At 44.2% G+C, this 23,727-nt stretch overlaps 1 protein-coding gene and 1 pseudogene across 3 annotated transcripts; one reads left to right on the forward strand and one right to left on the reverse strand.

The window, feature by feature from the left end:
- SSX3 (SSX family member 3) lies at nt 2,960-13,236 on the reverse strand. Of its 3 annotated transcripts, NR_176964.1 has the most exons (9): nt 13,167-13,236; nt 11,714-11,802; nt 11,165-11,279; nt 10,532-10,627; nt 8,633-8,682; nt 6,520-6,655; nt 6,073-6,120; nt 4,033-4,981; nt 2,960-3,568 (listed from the first exon to the last, which is right to left on the reverse strand). NR_176964.1 is itself a non-coding variant. In NM_021014.4 (8 exons), the coding sequence occupies exons 2-7, from the start codon at nt 11,780-11,782 to the stop codon at nt 4,037-4,039; spliced, it is 567 nt and encodes a 188-aa protein (NP_066294.1). In that variant the 5' UTR covers nt 11,783-11,802; nt 13,167-13,236; the 3' UTR covers nt 2,960-3,568; nt 4,033-4,036. The 3 variants fall into 3 exon arrangements, 2 of the variants coding, with proteins under 2 accessions (NP_066294.1, XP_011542187.1); NM_021014.4 differs by lacking the exon at nt 6,073-6,120 and having other exon boundaries at nt 4,033-4,137; XM_011543885.3 differs by lacking the exons at nt 2,960-3,568; nt 4,033-4,981 and having other exon boundaries at nt 5,930-6,120.
- On the forward strand, nt 13,522-16,992 carry LOC791093 (ornithine aminotransferase pseudogene; annotated as a pseudogene).

Consider the following 23,727-nt stretch of genomic DNA (forward strand, 5'->3'; position numbering starts at 1 on the left):
AAAGGGCCTTAGGATAATCATCATGTAGGTTAATTTAAAAGTTCATTAGAGGAACCAACCCAAATGTCCAACAATGATAGACTGGATTAAGAAAATGTGGCACATATACACCATGGAATACTATGCAGCCATAAAAAATGATGAGTTCATGTCCTTTGTAGGGACATGGATGAAGCTGGAAACCATCATTCTCAGCAAACTATCCCAAGGACAAAAAACCAAACACCGCATGTTCTCACTCATAGGTGGGAATTGAACAATGAGAACACATGGACACAGGAAGGGGAACATCACACACCGGGGCCTGTTGTGGGGTGGGGGGAGGGTGGAGGGATAGCATTAGGAGATATACCTCAGGTTAAATGACGAGTTAATGGGTGCAGCACACCAACATGGGACATGTATACATATGTAACAAACCTGCACGTCGTGCACATGTACCGTAGAACTTAAAGTATAATTTAAAAAAAAAAGTTCATTAGAAACATCTGAATCAGCCAGATTCCCCTTCAACACCACAGACAGATTGGCTGGCAGTAGCCACTTTTGCCTCTAAGATGAAAAATCTGATAATTGCTCATTAAAGAAAGTGAAGGCCTGGCGAGGTGGCTCACACTTGTCATCCCAGCACATTGGGATTGGGAGGCTAAGGGAGGAGGATTGCCTGAGGCCAGGGGATCCAGACCAGCCTGGGCAACATAGTGGATGCCGTCTCTATAAAAAAATACAAAAACTAGCTGGGTGTGGTGGCGTGTGCCTGTAGTCCCAGCTAGATCGGAAGCTGAAGTGGGAGAATCCCTTGAGCCTGGGAGATCGAGGCCGCAGTGAGCTGTACTTGCATCACTGCACTCCAGCCTGGGCGACAGACTGCGATCATGTCAAAAAAAAAAAAAGTAATATATCAGGACTTGGTGTAACTTCAGCCCTTTACAGTAATAATGAAGGAGAGAAACACATTTGTGGAGAAGGGACCGTGTTCACTCTTTATCTATCCATGATAGACAGATAGTCAGGAGCTTTATATACCCATGGAACCTAAGGAAAAATGTTCCCTGTCATAACTCACAATCTTCCAGCTACCCTTCCTGGCACCTGTCTTGTGGGCTGGGGGACCCAACTTATGGATCCCATCATCCCAGAGAGAAAGAAAAATCAAATCCTTCAGTAAGTATCTCTTTTAGGGTATCCTCTTCTCTATTTGCTTGGAGGATAAGGCTCTCGATATCTAGTAGCCAAATGTTGTGTAATACAGAACTATATTGGGATAAAATAGAATTTGTTTCCTCTGAGACACAGGTAGAGGTACGTCCACACTGACCTGGGTGGCAGCCATCTCTTTCTGCAGTGCCAGGCAGGGCATGCTCACAGATCTGGGGAACCTCTACTGCTCCTGGAGCCCCACAACCTCCTTCCAGGCACCCTCTCCCTCTGGTGGCTGTGACAGCCCACATGTGGCTTTGTGTCTCCCCTGCTTCTTTGCCTGCCTCTCTTCTGCCCACCCTGCATATCTCTGTCTCCCACTGTCCCTGCTGTGACCACGACTGCCTCTCCCTCCCTGCACTCTCTCTCTCCTAGGGCTCCTTGTCTTCGGTAAATGAACCCACAGCCTTCACATTGTGATTGGGGACAGAGCCCGGGGCTTGTTCAATTCCCCTTCCCTCCACCACACACACCTGTCCTCCTTAAAGTTTCTGAAGTCAGAGAGATCCAAACACAGCTCCTCCTGCACCTGCCAGCTGTGGGACCTCAGACAAGACGCCTACCATCTGTCGGGAACTCCGTCTCTCATCTATTATATTGGCATAATGATGATAGTGTCCTCCTTCGAAGGCTGGAGAGAACCAGAAGGCCAAGGTAATGGGCCATGGACGGTCAAAACTGCTCCAATTCTGCCTCCACCTGGGGCTGGTGTTTCAAGTCCATTGTGTGTGAATGGAGCTTTGATGTCTTCATTCACACACAATGGTTTGTTCTAAAATAGACTCCCCTCTGCCCTTCCCTTCCCCACAACTGTTTCCCCTCCACACTGTGCAATGGTACATGTGACAAAGAACTGTCCCATTCCCAAATCATCGTCCCCACCCCAGCCCCCAGGCCCCTGGTTGGTGAGACCCTTGATGGGCAGTCTCATGCTTCTGTCCAGGGGACTTTCGTACCGATTGCTCCCCTGCATGGAGACTAAGTGGACTCTTCTATTCCCTGGCCATCACAGGGTCTACAGTGCACACATCTTCCTCATTCCTTCATGTTCCCCAGATGACGATTTCATCTGTGTCTCCTCCCACATACTCCCAAATGGACTGTCCCAGACCTTGAATCCGGAAATCATTCAGAGAGCAAAGGCCAAGATGCCTAAACACCTGCTGCAGAATCCTGCTCCAGGACTGAAATGTATAGTCTCTATCAAAATAAAAACTGGGGGTCAGGCATGGTGGCTCACTCCTGTAATCCTAGTAGTTTAGGAGGCCAAGGTGGGAGGATCGCTTTGGCCCAGGACTTTGAGACCAGCCTGGGTAACAGAGCAAGACTTTCTTGACAAAACCTAAAAAAATTAGTGGATCATGATGGTGCATGCCTGTAGTCACAGCTTCTCTGGAGGCTGAGGAGGGAGGATTGCTTGAGCCCAGGAGTTCAAGGCTGCATTGAGCTATGATCATGCCACTGCATTCCAGCCAGGACAGAGCAAGACTCTCATCTCTAGAAGAAACAAACAAACAAATAAAACCCAACAACTGCAAACATCCTTCTCTAGAATGGGGTCACGAACTCCTGTCTGTCTTGTTCCCTGATGTCGCTCCAGCACCTAGAACAGCGCTCAGCACGAGGACGCACTCAGTGTTTTGTTGAATAAATGACTCCTTTGACACAGCAATTCCACTTCTAAGAATCTTTCCTAAAGAAATATGCACACACGTGCACAGAGCTGTGTGCACAATAATGGCACGAGCAAACAACTGGGGAACGTTTGCAAAGGTTTATTTACTGTCAGTGACTGCTACAGGGGAATCGGATGAGGGGAGTACATGCTGACCAGGAAACAGAGTGAGGGAAGCCTGACCAGGACGCATGGCAATGGGAAAAGCAGATGGGAGATGCTTATACTGGTACTTGGTGTGTGTCTGTGTGTGTGTGTGTGTGTGTGTGGTGTGGTTTGTGTGTGTGTGTAAATGCAGAGGAAAAAATCTGAAATTAAACACTCAGAACTGCCCTCAGTAGTCACATCTAGGGAGAGAGGAGGGTAATGCTGTTCCATGCAGAGGTAACTGACAATACTTGTTTTCTAAGGTAGGTGCATGGATACACAAACCAAAATATGCATTAAGTATGTCTTGCTCATCAGTGAAAATGTTAATATCTAACAGAATGACACACTTCAAGAAAATACAATGGAAACGCTAATATCGTACTCTTGGCACACTAAGAAAAATGACGCTCAACTTTTCACTGTTGTGAACACTTGCTTTCACTTGCTATGCACCTGATGACGAGGGGTCCACAGCCATGCCCATGTTCGTGAAAGGTCACCACGTTCTGCTTCTCATCATGGGCATGTGTCATATCCCCAAGGCTGAGGCAAGAAGAGAGAAGGAAAGTAAGTGGCAGTGAGTTCCCACCACGTGACAACTCAATCTCAACTCCTCCTGACCTGCAGACCCTGCACACTCCGATTCTGCCCTATCTCAGGACCTGCACACACCTTCCACGGTTCCTCGAAGTGAACCATCTGTTCATGCCACAGTGACTTCCTCGCCTGGGCTATCAATTCCTAGGCTAGAGGAAGGTGTGGCCCGCATATCAGGGCTGACCTGGGGTTTGGGACCCCACAGCATCCTGGGTAGGGAGCATCCCTGGATATATACAGGGCAGGGAGTAGAAAGAGCATGGGAAATCTCATCATTCAGCCTCAATGCTGTACACTAGAAAATTATAAGAAGGGAATGATTTGGGGAGCAAGTGACAGATGGGATGCCAGTATCATAACAGAATAGCACATCTGCAGGGATGCAGGGGATGAGTGGAAGGTTCTCTTACGGAGTTACTCATCATCTTCCTCAGGATCGCTGATCTCTTCATAAATCACCAGCTGCTTTCTCTCACGCAGTCTGTGGGTCCAGGCATGTTCCCCCCTTTTGGGTCCTATGATGGAGAATAGTTGGAAAGTGAGGGTTGGGTAGGTTGGAGAGTGTTAGGCTCTGTTTACTCAAAAAAAGGAGATGCCTGCTTCCTCCCAAGTGCCCATGGGCCTTCTTTATCCAGTTTTTCACATTCTCTGGCTTAGAGAGGCTGAGACCTTAGACCCACACCAATATAGGCCAAATGCCAATTAAAGTTTTAGCTTCTGGCTCCTTCCCTTCTCAGGCTTAGATTCCCAACCTCTTCACTTACGGGAACATTCCCCCATACCTAATTTCATACAGCACGTATTTGTTAAAGCCACACAGGCATACCTTGTTTTGTTGCACTTCATGTTCATACTGCTTCGCAGATGCTGCAATTTTTTTTTTTGGAAATTCTCACCAATTTTACACTTTTCCATTATTATTATATCTGTTATAGTGATCTGTGATCAGTGAGCTTTACTATTATTACTAAAATTGTTTTTGTTGTTTTTTAGTGTTTTAAAATAATTTTTGTTCTTTATTTTGTGGGTACACAGTAGGTGTATATTCTTATGGGGTACATGAGATGCTTTGATACAGGCATGCAATGCATGATAATCACATCATGGAAAATAGGGTATCCATCCTCAAGCATTTATCCTTGCCTTACAAACAATCCATTTATGCTCTTTTAGTTTTTTTAAGTACAATTAAGTTATTATTGACTATAATCACCCTGTTGTGTGTAATTGTTTTGGGGGTACCAGGAACTGCACCCATAGAATATGACAAACTTAATCGATTAATGTTTTGTGTCTTCTGACTGCTCCACCGATGAGCTGTTCCGCGTCTCTCTTCCTTTTCTTGGGCCTCCCTATTTCCTGAGACACAGCAATACTGAAATGAGGATTATTAACAACCTTACAATGGCCGTTAAGTGTTCAAATGAAAGGAAGAGTCGCATGCCTTTCACTCTAAATCACAAGCTAGAAATGGCTAAGATTAGTGAGGAAGCATGCTGAAAGCCAAGACAGGCTGAAAGCTAGGCCTCTTGCACCAAACAGCCAAGCTGTGAATGCAAAGAAAAGTTCTTGAAGGAAATAATAGTATATAATGCAAAGGAAAAGTTCTTGAAGGAAATAATAATACTAATACTCCAGTGAACACACGAATAAGAAAGCAAAACTGCCTTACTGCTCAAATAGAGAAAGTTTGAGTGGTCAGGATAGAAGATGAAACCAGCCACAACATTCCCTTAAGCCAAAGTCTAATTCAGAGCAAGACCAGAACTCTCTTCAAATCCATGAAAGCTGAGAGAGGTGAAGAAGCTGCAGGAGAAACCTGTGAAGCTAGCAGAGGTTGGTTCGTGAGGTTTAAGGAAAGAAGCCGTCTCTATAACATAAAAGTGCAAGGTGAAGCAGCAAACCCTGATGGAGAAGCTGCAGCAAGTTATCCGGAAGATCTAGCTAAGATCACTGATGAAGGTGGCTACACGAAACAACAGATTTTCAATGTAGATAAAATAGCCTTCTATTGGAAGGAGATGCCATCTAGGACTTTCATAGCTAGAGAGGATTGAGTTCAACTTTGAAAGGAGTTCTACTGTGGGTAAAATGCTATCCAATAGCATCACATACTACAGAGAAATCCTTCATGAAAGGGAGAGCTAATCGATGTGGCAAATTTCATTGTTGTGTTCTTTTAAGAAACTGCCACAGCCACTCCAATCTTCAGCAACCACCACCTTGACCAGCCAGCAGCCATCAACACCGAGGCAAGACCCTCCACCAGCAAAAAGAGTGTGACTCACTGAAGGCTCAGAAGATTGTTAGCATTTTTAACAATGAATTATTTTAAAATTAAGGTATATACATTTTTAGACATAATGCTATTGCACACTTAGTAGACTACACTGTAGTGTAAACATAACGTTTTATGCACTGTCAAACAAAAAACAATGTGTGTGACTCACTTTATTGCAGTGGTCTGGAACCGAACCTGCAGTATCTCTGAAGGACACCTGTATTGGGTAACAGGCATTGAGCTGAGTAAGATATGATCCCAGGTTATCACAGATAGAATCGCTTGAGCACCTTTCATGTCATCAGGCCTTCTAGATTAAATTTAATGTCTCCAAACAATTTATGAACTATGATTCTTTATTTCCATCTTATGGACTAGGAACCTGGAGCTGAGGAAATTTGGAAGACTTTCCTCAAGTCACGTGGTTTTTTTTTATATGGATGACAACTCCAGTCTGTCTCTGGAAGTCATGTCTAACATCTCATCTGGAGCTGGGCAAGCTCCTCAGCCCAGCCTGGACCCAGGGTTATCTGGGATCCATGCCACACACCCAGTCCACACACCTGAACGTCGCCAGGGAAGCCAGTGGGATTGTTCCTGAATTGCTTCCTCTTACCAGATATCATGTTAATCTTCTCAGAGGTAGTTGGTTTTCCCGGGGGGCACAGCTGTTTCCCATCGTTTTGTGGGCCAGATGCTTCTGGCACTTCCTTCGAAACATTTCCTTCCTCTGCTGGCTTCTTGGGCATGATCTTTATAATGTGAAGGTCATAGATAAATAGTATCAGTGACATTTCTATAGTGCTTTTGAGCTTACAAAGGGTCTTCACATGCATTAGCTTATTCAATGTTCTCAACAACACTGGGAGAGTTACACAGGCCTAAATTAGGAGAAACCTGGGAGGGGAGGTTAGAAGGGAAAGGAATGGCCTAAGTGAATATGGTTTCCAGGGATAGAATGCTTATCTTCCCACTCTTTTAGGACTCACATTCTTGCAAACAGCAAAAATCTCCATTTAATTGAGAGTGTGATATACAGATGATTTGGAGAAGAGTAGCATTCTAAGAATTCACAAGGTCTACAAAGGGAAGAGGTTCTGTAAAATACAAGGGATCCCATATAAGCTTGTAGACAGCTGCTGGGAGAGTAAATGTAAAAACATAGGGAGGCGACAAAACACTGCTGGGAAAGATGGTGTGGGGAGATGAACACAAGGAAGGGAGAGGGAAATAAATGGCTTGCTGAAATTAATCTAGGCAGCAAACAAAGCAGTACCAGATATGACATACTACCCTACCGAGGCACCAATTGAATGTGGAATTCAGTGAGGTGGTACCCATACCAATTCTGGTTGCATTGGGATGTGTACTGACCAACAATCTTAAGCTGCTTTCTTTTTCTTTTTTTTTTTTTTTTTTGAGACGGAGTCTTGCTGTGTCGCCAGAATGGGGAGCCGTGGCATGATATCGGCTCAAGGCAATATCTGACTCCCGCGTTTAAGCGATTCTCCTTCCTTAGCCTCCAGAGTATCTGGGACTACAGGCAGGCACTACCACGCCCCACTAAGTTTTGTATTTTTAGTAGAGACGAGGTTTCACCATGTTGGGCAGGATGGTCTCGATCTCCTGACCTTGTGATCTGCCCGACTCAGCCTCCCAAAGTGCTGGGATTACAGTCGTGAGCCACCGCGCCCTGATCTTAAGCTACTTTTAATTCAGCTTCCTCCCTTATGAAATAGTGAACCATACATGTAAAATAGGCTACAAGAAAGTGCTCTCTGAGCTTGTAAACACTCTTTAAATGTAGTAATAATAACAATTAATACCTTTCACAATCCTTCTTTGAATTCAGTCTCCACACTGGCAACCCAACTCCCAGATCCCTTTACCCTCCAAACCAGAGTTGAATCTGCACTTGTGGGATCACTCATTCAGGGGCCTCCGAGGGATCCCCTGGGCTGGGACTGGGGCTTCCCAGACGCCCCAGGTGCAGACAAGGCACTCAAGGAGCTCACAGTAGGGAGGGGCCAACAATCAAAGCGATTCCTAAGCCATGCAAGTGGCCCCAGTAACACAGCAGAGACCAGATGGTCCTTCCTGTTGCGAGAGTGGGTGTCTCAATGGAAGCACCAGCAGGCCCTATGGGGTGAAGCCCTAGTGAGCAACATCTGAACTTCATAAACAAATGCAAACGTGAATGAGCTTTAAATGGCTTGGAGCTCTGGATTAGACTACCACTGACACTGCGCCTCAGGAAAATTCTTTAACATCTCTGTACCACGATAGCCTCATTTTATTATTATGTTGCTGATAACTATGATCTAAAACATAAACTATAATTCTTTACTTCCATTTCATGGACCAGGAATCTGGAGCTCAGAGAACTCAGAAGATTTGTGCCAAGTCATATGGCTATCATATGGATGAAAACTGAAATGTGTTACTCATTATTATTCGGAGATAATAGAAACAATGTCTTCTTAAGGATTAAATAAATTAATCCATGTGAACTGCTTGAAATAGTATCTGGCATCACTATGAAAACAAAAGAGGTATGAACAATCACAAATGTTGGTACTATCAAGCCGTCGGTGCTACATCAGGTGTTGTGATAGACATGGGGAGAAGAAGGCAGTGAGGGCATTGTTGATATTCTCCCACTCTTACCAGTGTTCGCATCCTTGGAGGGACAAAGGTTCTCTGGTCCTTTAGATCTGAAAGATACTCACCTTCGGGAAGATTCCCTGGAGCCTGCCGAAAGTCATCTGAGGACGTTGAACTGAAAGAGAATACATCAGAATTTTTCATTGTTGGTAAAGGTTTCCAAACTCTAGAGAGACTTCTGTCGCATCAGGGTATTCTGCAGCAGAGGCTTATGAGTCCACGCATTGTTGAGGAGTTATTTCAGATTTGCTTCTGAATTATGTTTAGTCATGGTTGATGCATTTATCTGTGGCATCAATTCAGAATTTTCCATCTCATGGTTTATCACATGGGGACTACACCCCATCACAGTCTCATCTTATTCGATTACATATCTTTTACTTTTTCCCAAATAATTAAATTGATTGGTTAGGAATCTGAACTGTATCCACTCAAGATGTGCAACAACTGAAAATCATTGTACACTTCAAATGGGTGAATCTTATGGTATGTGAATTAAGCTGTTAAATGTGTGGTGAACCACGGATGATTTGGTCCAGTGGCTCTGAAAGATTTTCAGTACAAAGACAGTCCTTTAACGTTAAAAACTTGGCAGATACTCAAGCACTGGCTTTTCAGATCTCTTATAGTGATTGCGGGAGATTGTAGAATCTGGCCTGTTTAGTTGGCGAGTAATAGGTCTATTGGAGACGGTTTGGACATTCTGACCTTGTCTTATAATTATGTTGTCAGAGTAGAAGAGCAAGTAAATACATATGTCCCCTTTATTTTCCTGAAATGCACAAAGCTCTCTACCCAAGAACCTGTCTTTTTTTCATCCTATGTTATCTCTGTTCTCTGACAAGTGGGAAAGCTCTCTGTGTTTTCGATAAGGGATCACTCTTTCAAACTCTCTTTCAAGCTCATCACAGAGAATCAGGGTTATTTGGGAATGAGAAGACTATTTGGTTTTGATAAAATACAGAGAAACAGCGATCTTTATTACATAATGTGTTCATCAACCTCACTCCTAAGATACCTATCCAATACCTACATGCTGTTAATGAAACAACCTCTGGAAGTTTTTGGCGGATCTACAGTTTTAACACTTTCTTTCTTTTTTTTTTTTTTCACTTGTAACATTTTCTTAACTGTCCTTTGATACATTAACAGTGCTTAGGAAGAACAACATGTCATTTAAAAAAGAAATATTTCAAACACACAGAAAAGTATGGGGAATAATATTGAGTCCAGTCGGATCTCAACATTACCCCACAGCTAAGTTAGGTCTGATTTATTTATTCAGAATATTAGAAAAACTGCAAACAGGCCGGGCGTGGTAGCTCACACTTGTAATCCCAGCAGTTTGGAAGGCTGAGGCGGGTGGATCACCTGAGGTCAGGAAGTTTGAGACCAGCCTGGCCAACATGGTGAAACCCCGTCTCTACCATAAATTAAAAAATGAGCTGAGTGTGGGGGCACGTGCGTGTAACCCCAGCTACTCGGGAGGCTGAGGCAGAAGAATCACTTGAACCCAGGAGGTGAAAGTTGGAGTGAGCTGAGATTGCCTTATTGCACTCCACCCTGGCCGAGAAGAGTGAAACTCCATCTCAAAAACAAAAACAAACAAAACACACTATCAACAAGTCACAGCTGAAGCTGTCTGTGCAGCACTCAGCAATCCCTGCCCTCCCTCCCTCCTCCACTTACAGCCAGTCACCTTAGTTTGATGGCTTTTTATTCACATTCATGTTTGTATACATTTACCATTTACTTATTATCCATAAAAATATATATTCTTCTTTTGCATGTTTTAAAATTTTATATGAATGACCTCTGTAGTTAACTTTCTGCATGCAATTTTTTTTTTCACTCTGCCCCGATGTGTATGAGGGAACAAATGCCTGAGGCTCTTTCCCAGGTAGCTGAGCTGAAAAGCAATTGGGCTTGAGGAGACCCTTTCCAGCCCCTTCCCATCTACTCACCCTGATTCCCACGGTTAGGGTCATTATCAAAATCATTCCCCTGGAAGTCTGTGACCCGTTTATTACGCATGAAAGATGGGAGGATGGCCTTGAAACCTAGAAAGAAGCAAAATGTTTATTCCTTAAGAGACAAGCTTGGGCCTGGTACGGTGGCTCATGTCTGTAGTACCAACACTTTGGGAGGCTAAGGCTGGAGGATTGCTTGAGGCCAGGAATTCAAGGCTGCAGTAAGCTATGATTGCACTACTGCACTCTAGCCTAGGTGACAGATTCAGACTGACTCAAACAAAAAAAAAAAAAAAAGAAAGAGACAAGCCGAGAGAAGGTAGAGTGGGTGTGTGTGGGGTGGGGGTAGGATGGTTGCCGGGATGCCACAGAGACAGTTGGGCTCATCAGAACAGAAGCCTAAGAGAGAGAAACGTGCAGGATCCAGGTATGAGCTCCACTGTGGCCAGTCACTGCCCTCAGCCCTGACAGGATATAGAAGAGCAGAACACCCAGAAGCTGCCTTGCGATTTTTCCCTACACAAAAGGAAAATGTGAGGTACTTTCTGCAGCCTAAGAAATAGCCAAAGCAGGAAAAGGGATGCTCATGTGTCCCCAGACTTGTCTGTACCTAGAACTTTCTGTTACCTAGTTTAGTCATGGCCTCATACTTTCTCTTCATATACACATAGACGATTTTCTCCGAGACTTTCATCTTTTCCCACTCTTCCTTAGAGAAGTATTTGGCAATATCATCGAAGGCCTACAAAAAAAAAAAAAAGGAATTATGGCAGGGACTCAGCTAGGCATGTCTGCCATTCAGCTGGAGTCGCTTCCTGTGTGCTGGATCTGGGAAGTGGGGATAATCCTTCCTGGTTGATGCCACGGCTAACTGACAGAACATGAGGGACCTTCCTAGCTTCACCCCTGCCACACTGTCGGGCTTTAATGCTGCTGGCTGGCTCTCCTCCCACCTTCCAGAATGGACTGAGAGTCACCAAATGTAGTGCAAGGTCACAGACTTGTCTCCAGGGATGCTAGGTGATGACAGAGTGAGGGTGGGAGGCTCCCAAGGGTCCAGATCTCCCCTGAGACCCTGCTCCTTGTCTCCAGTATCTCTGTCCTCCCCTCCTCAGAAACCGGGTCACCCCACACTGTCCCCTGGGTCACTACTCTGCTCCCTCTAGGTCACCTCACCTTTTGTATCTTCTCTGGTATTTGAGCACCAACCGTGGGTCTCCTTGCAAAGGTGTCATCTCCGTTCATGGCACAGGGAGTAGTCTGACCTGCAAGAGAAACAGATTGAGACTTTCCAGCCGCAGGACCTTTGGTCTTGTGGAGGGAGAAATCAGTGAAGGCCGGCCACTCAGTCACCTGGAATCAGGTGCTGCATTTCTCCATCCGGGGCTTATCTGTCCCTGAGTAAGGATATGGGGAGAAATCAGACGAAAACCAGGAACCAGGGGTCTCTGGGAGAAGTATTGATAGGGGATGACAGGTTTCCTATGGGCAAAGCAGCCTTGAGTCTTTGGGAGGGGGTTGGCTAATGTTGTTAGTAATTTCCCTGGAGCTAGGCTTCCCCTGAAAGATGTATGGACCCTTGTTGGGGAGGCAGGGACATGACTGTGTAATTTTATTCAGTGGGGCATGCTGACACCCCCGCTCAATAAATAAAGGAAGGGAAGTTAGTCCCAGAGATAACGTGGTCTCTTTGGTGATGGATCTGATCAGGCAGAGGGATGGGGGGTTCTGTTCTGCTGAAGAGAAATGAGCATCGCTAATATGAATGTGTTCAGAGGCTATTACTGGGTGATTTGTAAGTTATTAGAACGAAGAGAGCTAGAATTTCTGAGACTACAAGAGCCCGCCATCACTTAGAGAGAATGTGGGGCATTTCAAGTTGCAGCAATCAGCCAGGCGCAGTGGCTCAGGCCTGTAATCCCAGCACTTTGGGAGGCCGAGGCGTGCAGGTCACTTGAGCCCAGGAGGTCGAGACCCGGCTGGGAAACACAGCAAAACCCCCGTCTACAAAATAAACAAAAAGTTAGCTGGGGTTGGTGGAGCAGGCCTGTACCATCCCAGCACTTTGGAAGGCCAAGGTGGGCGGATCGCCTTAGCCCAGGAGCTTGAGACCAGGCTCACAAACGTAGCAAAACCATCTCTACTAAAAAAAACAAACAAACAAAATTTAGCAGAAGCGGGGTGGTGCGCGCCTGTAGTCCCAAGGCCTAGGTGAGAAGATCACTTGAGCCCAGCAGGAAAGATTTGAGTGATTTTTTTTTTCAGACAGGGTCTCGCTCTGTTGCCCAGTCGGGAGTGCACTGGCGTGATCATGGCTCACTGCAACCTCCGCCTCTTGGGTTCAGGCAATCCACCAGCTGTGGCTTCCAAAAGTGCAGGGATTACAAGTGTAAGCCACCACCCCAGGCCCAAATTTCTTAAGTTACTACAGAGTTCCTAGGAAAAATCCCATACCTGAAAAAGTTAGAAACTGACAGGAAAGATTTGAGATGGCGGTTAGAAACTGACAGGAAAGATTTAAGATGGCGGCCTGCCTCATATACACTCCTTATTAAAACTAGATAGCAAATGCACCACGGAGGAGGGGAGGGGTAGGAAGAATGGAAAAAGAAAATCAGTGTATTCTTACTCTGATTTTGGAAGAATCCAAAGAGAAAATCAGACCGTGCGTACTCTTGAGTATGGAAGAATCGAAAGAGAGAGAAAATCAGAGCATGCGTACTCTGAACTTAAAGTAGCGAATCCCAGGGGATGCTTTAGGCGGGAAAATTAGAGTCTCCACCCCCACTTTGAGAAGGTTGTGTCCCTGGAGCCGGGACTGATAGAAGCCACATCCGCTTCGCTTGTTCCGCCTACTGTTCTGACTTCTAATTGGCCAGATGGAGTTCACTAACTGCCCTGATTGGTCCATCATCCTTGGGCAGCGACATTGCAGAATAATGTCTCCTCCTCCAGCCACACCTTGTCGCCACTGCGAAAAAGTGGGTGGTCCTCAGGCGCCGTCAGATTTTGATCTCTCTGAAGACTGTTCCTGGATCTTGGGTTAAAAATCTGGATTCTAGTCTGAACTGTGGGAAGAAAAAAATAGTCAATCTGTGATTTTTCTACTTGAAAGCCACAATGTTTTCCAAACTAGCACATTTGCGGAGGTTTGCTATAATTAGTCGTGGAGTTCATTCTTCAGTGGCTTCTATATCTGTTGCCACTGAAAAAACAGTCCAAGGCCCTCCAACCTCTGCTTACATTTTTGAAAGGGAATCTAAGTGTGGTGTGCAGAATTACCATCCTTTACCTGTAGCCCTGGAGAGAGGAAAATGTATTTACTTATGGGATGTGATTGTGGTATTGGTTACATCTGCCTTGGCCAATCCTCCCGCCTCTGTCTCGGGACTACAGGCGCAAACCACCCCACCCCCACTAATATTTTTTATTTTTTGATTTTTTAATAGAGAAGGTTTTGCTGTGTTGGCCAGGCTGGTCTTGACGTCCTGGGCTCAAGCGATCCTCCCACCTCGGCCTCGGGACTACAGGCATTCACCACCCTGCCTACGCTTTTTTTTTTTTTTTTTTTTTTAAGTAGAAACCAGGTTTTGCTATGTTGGCCAGGCTGGTCTCATTGGCCAGGTTGGTCTCATCGTCCTGGGCTCAAGGCATTCTTCCACCATGGCCTCGAGACTACAGGCATGCACTACCCTGCCTACGATTTTTTTTTTTTTTTTTTTTTTTTTTTTAGTAGAAACCATGTTTCCCTATGTTGGCCAGGCCGGCATCAAGCTCCTGGGCTCAAGGGATCCTCCTGCCTCAGGACCGCAGCCACGCACCACCCTGCCCAAGCTATTTTTTGTTTTGTTTTGTTTCGTTTTAGTAGAAACCAGGTTTCGATATGTTGCCCAGGCTGGCCTCAATCTCTTAGGCTCAGATGATGCTTTCATCTTGGCCTCAGGACTATAGGCGTGTGCCATTCTGCCCTGCTCATTTTTATTTTCATTTATTTATTTATTTATTTATTTATTTATTTTAGGAGAGGCAGGCTATCGCTTTGTTGGCCAGGCTGGTATCAACCTCCTGGGCTCAAGCAATCCTCCCACCTTGGCCTCAAAACTACAGGAGTGAGCCACCCCACCCACGCTATTTTTTTGTTGTTCTTGTTGTTAGTAGAAATGGGGTTTCACTATGTTGGCCAGGCTGGCCTCAACCTCCTAGGCTCAAGCAATCGTCCTGCCTTGGCCTCGGGACTACAGGTTCACACCACCCCGCCCCCACTAATATTTTTAATTTTTCTACTAGAGACAGTTTCGCTATGTTGTCCAGGCTGGTCTCTACCTCCGGGACTCAAGTGATTCTCCCGCCTCGGCCTTGGGACTACAGGCATGCACTACCCTGCCTTTTGCTATGTTTCCCAGGTTGGTCTTGACCTCCTGGGCTCACTCAATGATTTGAACCTGGGAAGCCGAGGTTGCATTGAGCTGAGATCACACCACTGCACTCCAGCTTGAGCGACAGAGCAAGACTGAAAAAAAAAAAAAAAAGAAAGAAAGAGCAAGAGAGAGATCAGCGGAATCTCCGTAAGAACAGGGAGCTTTGTGGTATTTTAACTTACCCTTGTCCCATCTCGTGCTCCCAGCTTGGTTCTGTTCATTGCTGATGAAATACAGATAGGATTGGCCAGAACTGGTAGATGGCTGGCTGTTGATCATGAAAATGTCAGACCTGATATAGTCCTCCTTGGAAAGGCCCTTTCTGGAGGTTGATACTCTGTGTCTGCAGTGCTGTGGGATGATGGCTTAATGCTGAGCATTAAGCCAGGGGAACATGGGTCCACATACGGTGGCAATCCACTAGGCTGCTGAGTGACCATCGCAGCCCTTGAGGTTTTAGAACAAGAAAATCTTGCTGAAAATGCAGAAAAAAAATGGGTATTATCGTGAGAAGTGAACCCATGAAGCTACCTTCTGATGTTGTAACTGCCATAAAAGGAACAGAATTATTATTATTATTATTATTTGAGTCAGAGGTTCACTCTGGTTGCCCAGGATGGAGTGCAATGGTGCAATCTTGGCTCACTGCAACCTCTGCCTCCTGGGTTCAAGCGATTCTCCTACCTCAGCCTCCTGAGTAGCTGGGATTACAGGCATGCACCACTATGCCCAGCTAATTTTTGTATTTTTAGTAGAGACGGGGTTTCGCCACGTTGGCCAGGCTGGTCTCGAACTCCTGACTTCAGGCGATCCACCCGCCTCAGCCTCCCAAAGTGTTGGGATTACAGGCGTGAGCCACTGTGCCCGGGAGGAAAATAATTATTAAATGCTATTGTTATTAAAGAAACCATAGACTGTAATGCTTGGGAGGTGTGTCTATGACTTCGAGATTATGGACTTCTGGCCAAGCCCACCCATGGTGACATCATCAGGTTTCGCCTCTGCTGGTGATCAAGGAGGATGAGATTCGAGAGTCCAGTGAAATCATTAACAAGACCATCTTGCCGTTCTGAGGGTAGCAGCTGTTTTCAGTGGTTCCTGGGAGCCGGCTGGAGACAGGTGGTCCTGTAAAAGCTCTGCTCTAAATGTAGGCACATTCCACTCCCATGTGTCTTCAAAATCTTTTTGTGTATATATGTTTTTTCAGTTGATACATAATAGGACAATGTTTATGAACCTGACATTTGCTTTGTAGTGTTAAGAGAATGTAATGGCATCTATATTCAGTGAAAGTGTTTTGATGTGCACGTGTACTTTATAAGGTGAAATGCATCTGTATATACAGACAGCCTTTAAATCACATCCTTCAGTATACTTTATATATGCTTTTATAATTTCCTTGCTGGTATAAAGGTTTTGTATTTGAAAAAGATATCTCTAGCGTATTACATAAAAGGCTTCACCTTATAAAGTCAAATCATTGTTTTCATTGAATTTTAGGAACGATCAATGGTTAAGCATATAAAAAATACTAGTTTTTTTGTTTTGTTTTTGTTTTTGTTTTTGTTTTGAGACGGAGTCTCACCCTGTCACCCAGGCTGGAGTGCAGTGGCTCGATCTCCGCTCACTGCAAGCTCCACCTCCTGGGTTCACGCCATTCTCCTGCCTCAGCCTTCCGAGTGGCTGGGACTACAGGTGCTCACCAAAACGCCTGGCTAATTTTTTGTATTTTTAGTAGAGACAGGGTTTCATCGTGTTAGCCAGGATGGTCTCGATCTCCTGACCTCGTGATCCGCCCGCCTCATCCTCCCAAAGTGTTGGGATTACAGGCGTGAGCCACTGTGCCCGGCCTATAAAATACTAATATTAAGTAAACTTTATATTGACCAACACCAGGATATAGTCTATGGATGTCATTATTTTGAATTAAGAATTAGTGTTTAACATTCCTAAATTGTTTTGAGTGCTTGATTATAATTTGTAAAAAAAAGTTTACTTTTAATATTTCTTTACATTTTAAACAAAGCTTGTATTTCAGAAAAAAAAACAGACAGAACATGGCCGGGTGCAGTGGTTCACGCTTGTAATCCCAGCATTTTGGGAGGCCGAGGTGGGCAGATCACTTGAGGTCAGGAGTTTGAGACCAGCCTGGCCAACATGGAGAAACCCCGTCTCTACTAAAAGTACAAAAATTAACCAGGCATGGTGGCACCCGCCTGTAGTCCCAGCTACATGGGAGGCTGAGACAGGAGAATAGCTCAAACCCAGGAGGCAGAGGTTGCAGTGAGCTCGAGAGCGTGCCACTGCACTACAGCCTAGGAGACAGAGTGAGAATCCCTCTTGAAAAAAAAAATGTACAGTACATTTTCATCACCGCAATGCTATCCCTTGTGCTACTCATTTTTAGTAATACTCTCCTCCCATCCGCCATCCCTAATCCCTGGCAACCACAAATCTGTTTTTCGTTTCCACAATTTTGTCTTTTCTACAATGCTGTACAAGTGAAATCTTATAGTATATCATGTTTTATGGGCTTATTTCACTCAGCATAATTCCATGGAGATTTCTCCAAGATATTGATATTTGTGTATCAATAGTTCATTGTTGTTGTTGTTGAGACAGAGTCTCACTCTGTCACCCAGGCTAGAGTGCAGTGTCTCGGCTCACTGCAACCTCTGCCTCCTGGGTTCAAGCAATTTTCCAGTCTCAGCCTCCCGAGTAGCTCTGACTACAGGTGCGCGCCACCACACCCGGGTAATTTTTGTATCAGTAGTAAAGATGGGGTTTCAACATACTGGCAAGTCTGGTCTTGAACTCCTGACATCATCATCCGCCTGCCTCGACCTCCCAAAGTGCTGTGATAACAGGGTGAGCCACTGTGCCCTGACAATAGTTCATTTTTATTGCTGAGTAGTATTCCAGGGGATGGATGTAGCACAGTTTGACCATTCACTTATTTTAGGACATATTGATTATTTCCACCTATTGGCTATTACAAGTAAAGCTGCTATGAACAATTATGTACAAGTTTCTGGATGGGCATACATTTTAATTTCTCTGAAGTGTAATTGTTGAATTGTATGGTCATTGCATGTTTAGTTTTATAAGAAACTACCAAACTGCTTTCCAGAGTGGCTGTAAGATTTTACCTTCCCAGCAGCACTTAATAAGGTGTCCAGTTTCTCTGCATCCTTGTCACCATTTGGTGTTGTCACTATGTCTTTTATTTTAGCTATTGTAATAAGTGTGTAGTGATACCTCATCGTGGTGTTATTCTGCATCTAGTGAAGCAAATGAGTGTTGAACATCTTTTCATGTGCTTATTTGCTTATTTCCTCTTCAGTGAAATGTATGTTCATATCTTTTCATGATTTTCTAACTGGATTATTTGTTTGTATTTTTTACCATTGAGGTTTTTATTATTTTTTTTTCTTGAGACAGAGTCTTGCTCTGTTACCCAGGCTGGAGTGCAGTGGCACGATCTTGGCTCACTCCAACCTCCGCCTCCCAGGTTCAAGTGATTCTCATGCCTCAGCCTCCAGAGTAGCTGGGATTACAGGCACGCATCATCATGCTTGTCTAATTTTTGTATTTTTAGTAGAGATGGGTTTTTTGCCATGTTGCCCAGGCTGGTCTTGAACTCCTGGCCTCAAGGCATCTGCCCTCCGTCCACCTCGACCTTTCAAAGTGCTGGGATTACAAATGTGAGCCACCACGCTCAGCCTACTGTTGAGTTTTGAGAGTACTATACATATCCATTACATATTCTGGATGTGAGTCCTTTCTTGGATATGTGGTTTGCAAACATTTTCTTTCAGATCATACCATATTTTTTCATCCTTCTAACAAGATTTCTTGCAGAGCAAAAGTTTTAAATTGGATGAAATCTAATTTATTTTTTCCTTATGTATTATGCTTTTTGAACCATTCACTATGCCCTAGATCTCAGACGCTTCTCCTATATTTTCTTGTAAAACTTTTTTTTTAGTTTTTTTGTTTGTTTGTTTGTTTTTTGAGATGCATTCTTGCTCTGTTGCCCAGGATGGAGTGCACGATCTCGGCTCACTGCAAGCTCCACCTCCCGGGTTCACACCATTCTCCTGCCTCAGCCTCCCGAGTAGCTGGGACTACAGGCGCCTGCCACCACACCTGGCTAACTTGTTTGTATTTTTAGTAGAGACAGGGTTTCACTGTGTTAGCCAGGATGGTCTCGATCTCCTGACCTCGTGATCTGCCCACCTCGGCCTCCCAAAGTGCTGGGATTACAGACGTGAGCCACCGTGCCCGGCCTTTTATAGTTTTATATTTTAGATTTAAATCTATGATCCACTTGACTTACTTTTTTGTATAAAGGTGTGAAGATTAGGCCTTTTTGGTTTTTTTTTTTTCTTTTTGGCCTATGGCTCTGCAACTGCCCCAGCATCATTTGTTAAGCAGATGATCTTTCCCTATTTTTGTCTCTTGGTAAAAAATCAGTGTGGGGCTATTTCTAGGATTTCTATTTTGTTACAGTGATCTATGTGTCTATTTTTCTCCCAATAATATATAGTCTTGATTCCTGTAGCTATATAAGAAGTATTGAAATATGGTAGAGCAATTCCTCCCACCTTATTCTTCTTTTTCAAAAATTGTCTTAGCTATATAAATATTTTTTGAGATGGAGTCTCACTTTTGTCGTCCAAGCTGGAGGGCAGTGGGGTGACCTCGGCTCACTGCAATCTCTGTCTACCGTGTTCAAGCGGTTCTCCTGTCTCAGCTTCCCGAGTAGCTGGGATATCAGGTGCACGCCACTACACCGGCTAATTTTTGTATTTTTAGTAGAGACAGGGTTTCGCCATGTTGGCCAGGCTGGTTTCAAACTCCTGACCTCAAGCGATCTGCCCGTCTCAGCCTCCCAAAGTGCTGGGAATACAGGTGTGAGCCACCGGGCCCAGTGTTGTCTTAGCTATTGACAATTTGTTACAGCAGCAATCAAAAATGAATACACTTAGAAATAGATTAATTAGTGAAACAAAATAATAAGTCAAGAAACAAACTAATTTATATACAAACTTAAGCATGCATTTCCAAACAGTGGGCAAAAGATGGGTTGTGTAATAAAGGATTGTTGACAAGTGTCTATCCATTTGGAAAAATAAACATTAAATCCTTACTTTCAACCACATAAAATAATAAATTCTAAAAATTCAGAGACTTAAATGTGAAAACGTGAAGTCATAAAGAACTAGATGAAATTTTAGGAAAATATTACAGTGTAAGACATCTTGAGTTGGCATAGGCACTTCCTGATATTACACCAAGGCTATAAATAATGAATCTGACATATTTAAAGACGTAAAAATTAAAGTATCATCTAAGTCAAAAGACACCATAAAAAACTGTTTAAAAAGGCAAATATTAGGCCAGGCACAGTGGCTCATGCCTGTAATCTCAGTACTTTGGGAGGCCAAGGCGGGCAGATCACGAGGTCAGCAGATCGAGACCATCCTGGCTACCACGGTGAAACCCCGTCTCTACTAAAAGTACAAAAAATTAGCCGGGTGTGGTGGTGGGCGCCTGTAGTCCCAGCTGCTCGGGAGGCTGAGGCAGGAGAATGGTATGAACCTGGCAGGAGAATGGCATGAACCTGGGAGGTGGAGCTTGCAGTGAGCCGAGATCGCACCACTGCACTCCATCCTCGGCAACAGAGTGAGACTCCATCTCAAAAAAAAAAAAAAAAGGCAAATTTTGGGGAAAATGAAGCATCCCCAATAAATTAACAGTAACCATCTCTAATATATAACAAAGCGTTTCCATATCAATAAGAGAAACTGGAACAACCCAATGAAAAAATGTGTTCAGGCATGGCACTACTTTATCATATAGCAGAAAAGGATTACAAAACAGAAATTACGAAAGGAAAATAATAAAGGAAGTGGAGAAGAGATCCAAGAACTTTCAACGTTCATCCAATAGAAGATCCAGAGGTAGAGAATAGAAAGACTGGGATGGGCGCGGTGGCTCACGCCTGTTATTCCAACACTTTGGGAGGCCAAGGGAGGCAGATTACCTGAGGTCAGGAGTTCGAGACCAGCCTGTCCAACATGGTGAAACCCCGCCTCTACTAAAAATACGAAAATTAGCCCAGTGTGGTGGGGGGCACCTGAAATCCCAGCTACTTGGGAGGCTGAGGCAGGAGAATCACTTGAACCCGGGAAACAGATGTTGCAGTGAGCTGAGGTCCTGCCACTGCACTCCAACCTCAGTGTCAGAGCAAAACTCCATCTCAAAAATGAAAAAAAAAAATAGACTGGAGAGAAGGCAGTACTTGAAGAAATAATGTTCTAGAATTTTCCCAGCTGAACAAAGACATGAATCTTCAACCTGAAAAGAGCCACCTAGTTCTGAGCCTGATTAACACACATGTGCACACACACCTGTGCACGCACGAGCGCACACACACACACACACCCTCGGGGTAAAATTTCTAGGATAAAGATAAAATCCTGAAAGGTCCCAGAGAGAAAAAGAGAAGAGAGAATGCAATGGAGAGGTTTTTCAAGGAGCTGATTTAAAATAACTTTGGGCCAGGCGCAGTGGCTCATGCCTGTAGTCCCAGCACTTTCGGCGCCAAGACCGGATGCTCGCTTGAGCTCAGGAGTTTGAGACCAGCCTGGCCAACAAGGCGAAACCCACTTCTACAAAAAACACAAGTAACCAGGTGTGGTGCCACATGCCTGTAGTCCCAGCTACTTGGGAGGCTGAGGCAGGAGAATTGCTTGAGTCCGGGAGGTGGAGATTGCAGTGAGCCGAGATTGTGCCATTGCATTCCAGCCTGGGTGACAGAGCCAGGCACTATCTCAAAAAAACAAAACAAGAACAAACAATAAAAAAAGTTGAACCTAGATATCTATATACAGCCAGGATAATCCAGAATGAGGGGAAAAATATTTCAGAAAATTCATGACGCATATACCCTTCAGAAATAATTATTGGTATACAGTCCTGTGAGAAGGGAAAACTAAATTTAGGAGGAAGGAGGTGATTTCAGTAAGCAATGGTGAGGAGAAAAATAGTAAAATTTATTGAAAAGTGTAAACTTTAGATTGAAAAATTTAAAAATTACAGTCTTGAACTAAAATTCCCAGTATTATAAACTTGGAAGATGGGAGCAGGGACAAGAAAGAAAAGATAAGCTGTTTTGGTGTTCAAGGAATGGATACAGATGCTAATGAATGATAGAATTTGGTGGTGCATGCCTGTAACCCGAGCTACTCAGGAGGCTGGGGCAGAAGAATCACTTAAACCTGGGTGGTGGAGGTTGCATTGAGGTGAGATCACACCATTGCACTCCAGCCTGGGAAACAAGAGTGAAACTCTGAAAAAATAAGTAAATAAAAGGCCAGGCACAGTGGCTCACGCCTGTAATCCCAGCACTTTGGGAGGCCGAGACAGGTGGATCCCTTGAGTTCAGGAGTTCGAGACCAGTCTGGCCAACAAGGTGAAACTCCGTCTCTACCAAAAATACAAAAATTAGCCTGGCATAGTGTCACACGCCTGAGGTTCCAGCTACTCAAGAGGCTGAGGCAGGAGAATTGCTTGGACTCGGGAGGCAGAGGTTCAGTGAGCCAAGATCGTGCCACTGCACTCCAATCTGGGCGACAGAGGAAGACTCTGTCTCAAATAAATAAATAAATAAGTAAATAGAAAACCTATTGGATAGATTGGATATGAAAACATTAACTGCTCAAATAAATAATTCAGCGGAATAGATTGGATGTTAAAACCGATATAGTTGAAAAAGCAATTACTGAGCTGAGGAAATGCATCTAAAGAATTCATGAAAGTAATCGGTAATGGATAAAGAAGAAGTAAATGAAAGAAAAGTTAATTAATAGGGAGGATAGAAGAATAAATGTCAAAACACATCTAATAGTAGCCTTATAAGAAGAGAATATAGTCATTAAAAAGGAGAGTGTACTTAAATAAGTAATCAATGAGAATTCCTCAGATTTAAAAAAATGACTTAAGATTTAAAGGTATTATAGTACACACACACACACACACACACACACAGGAAAAGTGAAATGTAAAATTGTGAAAGACAAAGAAAAAATATTTTAAAAATGAACAGAGAGAAATAGCAGGTTACTTACAGAGGAAAAATAATTAAACTGACATCGGATCTCTCAAATACTACACTGGAGGCAAGGATACAATCGTGTAATAATTCCAAGGTGTTGAAAAATATGATTTTTTTTTGACTGAGTCTCGCTTTCTCACCCAGGCTGGAGTGCAGTGGCATGATCTCAGCTCACGGCAACCTCTGCCTCCTGGGATCAAGCAAATCTCCTGCCTCAGCCTCCTGAGTAGCTGGGGCTACAGGCACACAACACCACACCCGGCTAATTTTTGTACTTTTAGTAGAGATGTGGTCTTGCCATGTTGGCCAGGCTGGTCTGGAACCCTTGACCTCAAGTTATCTGCCTGCCTCGGCCTCCCAAAGTGCTGGGATTACAGGCATAAACCACTGCACCCGACGAAAGAAAGGAATTTTTATACCGGTGGAGTAAAGACAATGTCAGCCATATGACTTCAGGAGATTGAAGACACAGGGAAATGTTGAAGCAAACAAGTATTTATTGGGCTTATTAAAGACTGTAAGGAAGGGCCAGCTGCAGTGGCTCATGCCTGTAATCCCAGAACTTTGGGAGCCTGAAGCAACAGGATTGATTGAGCCCAGGAGTTCAAGACCAGCCTGGGCAACATGGCAAAACCCCGTCTCTACAAAAA

This window comes from Homo sapiens, chromosome X (assembly GCF_000001405.40).
Source record: "Homo sapiens chromosome X, GRCh38.p14 Primary Assembly".
NCBI classification, from domain to species: Eukaryota; Metazoa; Chordata; class Mammalia; order Primates; family Hominidae; genus Homo; species Homo sapiens.